This window comes from Homo sapiens, chromosome X (assembly GCF_000001405.40).
Source record: "Homo sapiens chromosome X, GRCh38.p14 Primary Assembly".
NCBI classification, from domain to species: domain Eukaryota; kingdom Metazoa; phylum Chordata; class Mammalia; order Primates; family Hominidae; genus Homo; species Homo sapiens.
In genome coordinates, this window is record NC_000023.11 from 20,729,547 (window position 1) to 20,739,145 (window position 9,599).

A 9,599-nucleotide genomic window follows, 5' to 3' on the forward strand; every position below is an offset into this window, starting at 1 on the left:
ACAGAAGATCATTGTCTTCTATTTCTGTCAACAGTTCCATAAACTGGCAATGATTCATAGCATTTGCATGTGTACAGAACAATTTTAATAACTGTATCCATGACACTTTTCCTAGGTTTGCTTCAGAAAACTCAGCACAAATGTTTTAAGTATGTATCATACAGTGGAACAAAGCCATAAGGGAAACATCAGTCTTTAGTTTAAAAATTTAATAAAACCATATTTTTGAAACTAACATAGCTGGAGCATCATCTGTTATGATAGAAACTAATGCTTTTCATATCTCATTGAAATTCTTCTTTGACAGATGTAACATTAAAAAAATCTACATCATAAATTTGATTTTTAAGCTACTAATCGACATCATTTTTTTTGGGGGGGGGGGTAAATTTGTGAGTCTTTTGAGACAAAATGTACCCAAAACATTACTTAGGCAGTATCACTTACATCACCTGACTAATCTAAAGCTTTGGAAAGTACATAAAGTTTTTCAAAGTTTGAATCAATTCCTCCTTAAAATTGTTAGAAAGGCCTTAGTACTCCACGGGCAATTGTTCGGTAGCATAATTGACAAGCTTCTGCACTTTATAAAATATCATTTTTTGTCTTATTCTTCTAATTTTCTAACACAATTTCCACAACTCAAATATTAGATATCTTATTAGTTTTCTATTTTAAAATGGTTTTCTTTTGTTGTAAGGATTCAAACCATTATATATCTGGCCAAAGTTAGAAGTCAATTGAAAGTTGTTGTTGGTCATTTCTTTCTGATTTCAGGTGGCCAATTTCATTGATTCTTTTTTGACTATTGATAGAAATTTCTAATCAAATTCCCTATGTATTTGCTGAAGATGTGTTTTAGTGTTGTCCACTTCATTACCTTTTCAATTTTTTACACAATTATTTCATTTTACTCTGTGGCAGCAGGTTGCAATTCCCATTAATTTGTGACGTACCTTCTTTCAATTTGTTTCTTTCCTGTTCCTATCATAGTATCAGTTTCTGCCTCTTCTCTCAATGTTGTATCAGTTGTATGTCTTCACTTTAAACTTAAAAATTTGTCTATACTTTTTTTGGAGACTAGAAAAGTAATTAAATTGTATTATCATTAAGATAAACATTTCAATTTTAATACAAATTATGATTTACATAGATATTATTGTAACTCATGCTGTCTATATAAAATATTCAAGTAAGCATCACAATGACACATTGGTACATTCAAACTGAATCAATCCATTGACACTGATTACATTGGTGAGGTAATAATGTGTAATACTCTCTAGAAATGAGACACACGCCCACCATGTGCACTAAAAGACAATGATAATAGCTTATGTGATGCAATGGTTAATGTGAAATGTAGTCCTTTGCCTTTTCTACTTCATTGCTGGCACTATCATTATTATCATCTTTACTTAGAAAATTATTGCTTCATTATTTAGCCCTCAGCCTTGGTGTGACTTCCTCAAGGAAGATTTCTCTGCTTCTTCCACTAGGCTGCACCAGTCAAACTGTTTAAATATTACAAGAGTAGCAAGGTGCCAGCTTGAGTTTCAGAAGCTTGAAAGAGAGAAGCCTGATTATGACTTCCCAGGTGGTGTGGAGTTCCTCTTGACCCAGATAACTTGAAGGAAGAAGAAATTAGGCCCAATACGTGTAGCTCAATAAGTAATAGCTTAGGTATTCCAAGGACATGGGCATTTTGAGTATAGCATGGTGTTTGCCATTCAGATTTGTCCCTTGCATGAGTATAAGCCCCATAGAGAGCAGAGCATTTGGATGGCAAGTAAAACTGGAATCCTTAAATATCCATAGAACATTGAAGAAGCCAAGATCTTACCTAACAGAATGTTATCCACAAGGGATATACTACTGAGCAGCTCCCACGAAAACTCCAGTACATTGGTCCAGGACACAGTGGTTCTTGGTCAGAGTGCATATCTTCCTGAGTAAGTGTGAGATATCCATGGCGACTTCCAGAGAGCTCCAAGACATATTTTAAAGGAGTCCAAGGTTTTCAATGAGTATGTAGGAGTAAGATCCAGTGGAATCTGCACCACTGTTAATGTGCCTCCCTTTAAACCCTCGCTTCATCCTTTAATAACAGATTTTCAATGTGTGTGTCTGATCAGATGTGTGGATCCTAAGCTCTGTCTATTTATGTCTATTTTCCCTTCTTGACTTTTTAACCCCTGATGAATAGGGATTTTTAAAAATTAATCTTGGTATCCTCAGTGTCTGTCAAACGATGTGTCAGGATCACAGGAGATGAACAATAAATAGTTGTTAACTGAATGAATTAATGAATGAATGAACACGTTTTAATTGGAGCCATTTGAGGCAATGTCCAGTCTTATTGTTTGATCCAGAGAAGCTACTATAATCATGGACATTTCAAGCTATGCAGGAAGGGAGATTATCGATATGACAGACCAAGAGAGGGATATATTTTTCCACAGGATTGATTTGTCTAGATCTGTAAGTTTTCTACCTACACAAAAAAGTCATCCCTGATTCTTAATGATGGAAGGGAAGAAAGACCTTGTGTATATTGCCTGCACTAAGGCTTCGCTATCTGCACCAAATATATTTTGTTTGAGAAAGAGAGGACTCTATCTGCATTTCATTTTTGTAAAACCCCTTTCTCCTAGTATACAATGGCTTTGTAAAAGACCAAAAACAATATAAATGAAAGTCTTATTTTTAATTTTGTAAATGCCACAACAAAGGACAGCCATAATGCCTGTGCACTTTCTTACCCTACCTATGGATGTCTTTGAATCACAACTGTAAGGTTGCCTCAGCAATGATCTCAATTCCAAACAGACTCCATCTTTGTGCTTTGCACTGAGGTTGGAAGAAAGCCACATTCACAGGGATGAGTTTGATGATAGAATTGAAAAAGGTATTTTCCACATGATACCAGCCTGGTTCTACCAATTTGAATTCCCAGGTCTCAACAACTGCCAGGTAGTAACAGCTGTAGCTTTCTCTTGACAATAAAAATGGAGGATTTCTGCAAAACTGCTATGGATTATGAAGCAGCCTCATTTTCCACTGCTTCAGTAATTGAGGGCTTCCAAATTCTCTGTGGGTGTTAGAGCTTCTGTTTTCTAATGGTAGAGAAGGGAATGTTTTGTTTTGTCAGAATTAGCTTTTGTGGGGGCTTTCAAATACTTAGCTCTGAACAGGTTAGGAAGACAAAACTCCTCATTTTGCTGGGATTAGGTTACCGGTTCCTTGGTAATTCCTAGTTGGCCTATTTCTTTTGGATGACTTTGTTCTGCCAGAACATCACCTGTCTTAACTAAGCATAGTTAACATTTTAAAAATCATTTTATATCTCATTCATTAATTCATCCACTAGCTAGTTATTAATACTACTCTGTGCAAAGTACTGCAGGATCTCAAGATGTGTTAGAAACTGTCCCTACTCTGTAGTACTCTGAAATTCATTGAGCCATAAGAACATAGGCACAATAAGTATTCCAGAAAAATGAATGAGAAATACCTGCAAGGAAGTGTTATAAAAATGCCAGGAGGGAGGAATAATTCCTAGTTAAGAAAGCAGGGAAACTTTGTGTAAAATGTGGTATTTAAAAGGTGGAGGGGCCAGGCATGGAGCCTCTTGTTCATAATCCCAGCACTTTGGGAGGCTGAGGTGGGAGGATTGCTTAAGCCCAGGAGTTTAAGGCTGCAGTGAGCTGCGATTGCACCACTAAATTCCAGCCTAGGCAACAGAGCTAGACCCTGTCTCTAAAAAATAAAAATAAAATAAAAGGTCAAGGAATTTCACTTGGGTAGAATGGCATGAGAGGTGAGACTGGCAGTAAACCATGCAGGGAAGAATATGTAATGACTGGTTTGACTGATGTATAGATCCAGTGCTATGCTGGAGCTAGCTGGTACTGGGTGTGAGAGCCCATGGTGTGCATCTCTTCTCAACTTTGTGTTCAGTGATGTCATGCTGATAGCTCAAAATCAACCACGGTGGCGGGAATTTTTACACCACGGAAATTAGCAAATGCCACAAATCAGGGTTTTGCTCTTGTTTTTTGAAATCTGGTTTAAAAGCACACCACTGGATATATTGCATTATTATTCGTATAAACTCCCTGAATCTCGAACCCTTGCCTTGAGAGTTTAACGTTTCTGCCACTAGAGGCAGAAGATATTTCACTGCCCCATTGATTTTGGGTTTGGCCAGGTGATAGTTGCTTTGACCAAAAGGATGTCAGCAGATGTGATGTGAGCAAATGCTTGAAATGTACTTGCTTAGTTAGGCTTGTGCTTTGTCACTCTTTCCTTTCACCATGAGGAGGATATTTTATGGGCAACTTTCTATTTCCAGAAAAATGACAGATGCATGAAGCAGAGGTAAACTGAACTGATAGCAGAGCACCAAGCCCAGCAGAACCCATCCAAGATCAGCAGAGCCCAGAACACATGTAGATATGTGAGCCAGAAGTAAATGCTTATGTTTGCATGCAACTGAGATTTTGTAGTTGTTGTTTATGTAACAATAGCTAATGAATTGGATTAGGCTCCTATTTCTGCTATAATGAATTACCACAAACTTAGTGGCTTAAAACAACACAAGTTTATTCTCTTATAGTTTTGGAGATCAGAAGTTTTAGATGAATCTTATAGAAGTAAAATAAAGATGTTAGTAGGTCTGACTCCTGGAGGCTCCAGGGAATAATCTCTTCTTTGTCTCTCCCAGTTTCTAGAGGCTGCTAGAATTCCTTGATTCATGGCTGCCTCACTTCAAATTCTGCTGCTGCCTTCACATCCTCCTCTCTTATCTCTAACATTCTGTCTAGGACTCTTATGATTACACTGGACTCACCTGGATAATCCATGTTAATCTCCCCATCTCCAGATGCTTAGCTTAATCACATCTACAAAGTCCCTTTTACTAGGTAAGGTAACATTCACAGGTTCTGGGGGTTAAGACATAGACATTTTTGGGTACCATTCTTTAGCCCACTACACTGACATAGATGGAGAACAAAGCATATTTTCACCATTTCAAATGGTGAACATTTCACCACTGCACCATTTGGAATGGTGAAAATATGCTGCAAAGACATTGGGGTTAACTGGTGGGTGCTCAAGGTCACTAATGATGAATGGCTAGCCTTCCTCTGCCACTAACTAATTTTTTTGGTCCTTTTTCAATTGTCATTCTTACTGACATTTATCCACAACACTCAACATTATTGATGCTGATATTGTTCCTTGTCACCTAGGATGCTACACTGTCCTGATTTCTTCATTTTAGTGAATTAACAGCACCACTAATCAGAGTAGGGAGCCATGGGGCCTCTCATTTTAAAGAAGGGGAAAACACCAATGGTAGTTAGAAATAAAATAAGACGGTACATTTAGTGGGGAATGTGTTTTGGTTAGTAAATCATTGAAGACAAACAAACCAAAGACAGAAAAACAGAGTTAAGGTCCCAGTGGAAGCTGAAACTGTATATGCTCAACCCCAGATGCCTTGTTGCTCATCACTTTTCAGTAATACCATCACATTAATTTTTTTTTTAAATACAAATAATAAAAACAATTAGAAGTAAAACCATCATTGGTCTGGAAGGAGTGGGATATACATTTGGTGGAATCTATGATGGTTTTGATGTGGAGATTGATACACTTAGCATTGTGCTTGAGGAAAATTAGTTTGGTAGCCTCGGGTAGGATGAATTGAACTGGGGAGAAACTAGAAGAAAGGAGGCTAGAAAGAACATTAGTCCAGTGGAAAATTGATGAGGAGGATCTGAACCAAGGGCATAGCAGTGGAAAAGGAAGAATAGGGATGGTTGTTTTAGGAACTGAGTAATAACTCTATAGTTTCAAGCTTGGGTGAGTGTTGGTTGCCTGTAATAGATATAGAAAACTCAAGAAGAGGGGCTGGGCTGGGTAGGTGTTGGGGGTGATGAAGATTACAATACATGATTTTTTTGGTTCTTAATGGTGAATTTAAGGTGCTTTTAGGATATGCATTTTCTCTCTAGATCATACATTACTTGAGTCTGGTTATTAGTCTCATTAATTTTTGTACTCTCAATGTCTAACAGAGTAACTGGCATTTGTTAGGCTCTCAATAAATATTTATTGAAGGATGGAAGGAAGGTGGGAGAGGAGGAGAAAAGAGGTGACTGCCTGTTTTTCTCCCACTCTCCACTCTGGCTGACCTACCCTAGATGAGTGGCTTACAGGACAGGGAGTGCAGTTTGAAGACAGGTCCTCCAGTTGCTCTGATCCAAGACTGGGAAAATACTCTTCTGTCTTTTTTTCCAGACAAAGATTCCTTATAGGCAGCTCGGCCAATGAGCAGAACAGATAAATATGCAACCAGATGATACTTTACCAACTCTGACTTTATCAGTACAAAGTGAGAAAAAGCAGGTATGTGTTATTCCCAGAAGATATTGCAAGTGTGCAGGTCCAAGGTGTTCCTTATGCACTTCACCCATCTCTCATGATCTCTTCCTTTGCCTGAGGCGCAAACTCTTTCTAAACTTCTTCCAGACCACTGATTGCTTTACTTCTAATTATTTTGTGTTTTGAAAAATCAATATGAAGGCATTTCTCAAAGGGGCGACAGGAAATCTGGTGTTGACCATATACAGTTTCAGCTTCCACTGGGACCTTAATTAACTCTGTTTTTCTGTCTTCAGTTTGTTTGTCTTCAATGACTCACTCACCATAACACATTCCCCTCTACATGTACTGTCTTATTTTATTTCTAACTACCATCGGTGTTTTCCCCTTCTTTAAAGTGAGAGACCCCATGGCTCCCTATTATGATTAGTATGCTGTTGACTCAATAAAATGAAGAAATCAAGATAGTGTAGCATCCTAGATGACAAGGAACAGTATCAACATCAATAATGTTAAGCGTTGTGGATAAATGTCAGTAAGAATGACAATTGAAAAAGGACCAAAAGATTTGGTTAGTTGGAGGAGAAGGCTAGCTATTCATTAGTGACCTTTAAGAGTGCAGTTTCAATGGAGGTAGGGGTTAAAAATAGACTGAAATGAAGTGGAAGCCAAGGGAGGGACGGTACTCTTCCGAGATGTTTGATGTTCAAAAATAAATGAGACAGGATGGTAGTTTAAGGTTGTAGCTAAGATAGTTTTTGGAAGATTTGAAATCATGTTTTATAAATATTAGCCAATTAGTTAATTCATAACTGAAATTCCTAATTTATTTCACAACCAGTGAGTAAGGGGAACTGATTGTGAGAGGAACTGACTGAAATCTTGACAGGATTCAAGATGAAGTAATTTGTGTCACCAATAATTTGTATGTTGTTTCTTATAAAATAGAAATATCACAACATTTTAAACCAGATGCAATTATTATTTATTTCCTATATTAAAGAAGTTTTGAATTAATACATTTTCGTCTATAAATCTTTATGGAGCTCCATGCTATTTTTCAGCAATGAAGAACTGAGGTGGCACAGATATTTATTTGAACACACATGATGAATGTAATTCCTCTTCAAAAGCTTTAAACAAAATAAAGTACAAATTAATCTTGCCATTTCTTTGGTTAGCTTTGTACTTAAAAATAACAAATAAACACCTTGTTTATTATTTTCTACTGCTTCAGGGAAAGTTGGTTTCTCTGATTTAAATTTGAGGGAAGGTTAAATGAGAATGCAACCTAAGATTGAATTTGTGAAGTTTTCATCAAATTAGCTCTGTTCTACTACAGAAAAGTCTTTCTCAGTACAATATAATTGCCAAATAAGTTATAGTTGGTTTCATGTTAAAAGAGATGAACATTGATTGAATATTGATGTTAGAAGAAATTGAACACTTGTTAAAAGATGAACATTTTCCTTCTGGAAAATACTAATTTAAAAAACCATTATTTCTTCTCACTCTGTGAGGCTTGTTAGACACTCCATGAGGCTTGAAGCACAACGAAGTTTTAGAATTATTAAATGTGGTAGAATGAGTGGAGCCTGGGTATCTGGAAGCAGAGATCTTATTCTGACTCTGCCATACAATTTTGGGCAAATGATTTCTGAGCTTTACTTTCTAAGTTTTCAAAATAAGAGGATAGGACTAACTTATCTCCAGATTTAATCCCAAGACTAAATATCTTTAACTTTGAATTATTCATTTGTTACCTGGTAAAGACAAATTGTTATGAAACATCACTCTCTGTTTTTCCCCTTTTGAACTCTTGGTAAAAATAATGAACTGTCAGCCTTACCCAAAGCAGCTGAATAGGAAAATAGAGACATTATAGAAATATCAATAACAATTAAGATTTCTGCTCATACTTGCACTCTTATGTCTGCATTAAATGAGACTGAAGATTATAATTTTGGAAGGGATAACAAATTACAGATTATTTCCATTTTGATTAAAATCAATAACATAAGAGCAACTTGACTTTGCTTGAGAGATGTTTTAAACAGAGTTTATTTGATCAGCCTCAGACATAAGTAAATTAGCAACCATAAGAAAAAAGAGGTATGCTTGCTAAGAGAACATTATGATCTGACTTCACTTATCCACAAGGAAAATCAGTGCACTTTGTACAATTTCCTTTAAGGAATGCTTTTTCCTCCAATTTGGTTGTTTCAGTTGGGACAACATCAGATGGCATCTGACAGTGGTTCAGAAAAGGGAATATGATTAATTTGGAAGGGAAACTACTTTTGGGTCATTTCTTATTTTTTTACTTTTATTTTAAAAAAGAAAGACCTCCTCAAATATTAATGATAACAATTTTGGAAACCCACTAACATACCCTTAACACACAACCCAACTGGATTTCTTTACCTATGCCATTTCTTCTATTTGGAAGACCTATTTCTTTCACAAGGCAACTTCCTTCCTTCTCTTCTAAATCATTTTCTAAATACATTTCCTCTCTGATAGCACATTGCCATCCTTGCTCCTGCTCCTGACACTTGATGAGTTCTAGGCCTTCCAGATATACCTGTATTCATTAATTATGCACATGGGTTTAGAAAGCAAGAATTGGCTTGTATTCACAAGCCATGGTGGAGAACGCTGGAGCTGTGAAAAGTAACCACCGATGCTGGGATAGCAGCTTTCTTAGAACCTTTTAAATTCCTTGTGGGCAGTCAAATGGCCCTGGACAGCTATTTTGTTTGGTCATTTCTTTCATTTTTAATTTTTTGGCCATTTCTCTCTCACTTCTACCCTTGTTAAGTGGTTTCCAGGTTGCTCCTGTGTCATCCTCTACTCTAAAATCCAATCAAACTCCAAATTGTGTTGATTTTACTACTCATCACCACTAGGCTCCATTTGCTTCTTTCCATTTCTATTATTTTCACCCTCATCCAAACCACCATCATTTCTCACCTGGACTGTTGTTATAATGTCCTTATTTGTCTCCCTGCACTCATGATTGCTGCCTTCTTATCTATTCTCCCCATTACAGCTAGAGTGTTATTAAAAATAATAATCATAACAAAACACAATTATACGTTCCCTTCCTCCTCGTTTAAAATCATTCAATGGCTTCTTACTGTGTTTAGGCTAGAAAATGAAATCTTTCCAAGGCCAATATTAAGGTCACATCTGTCCCAGTTCAC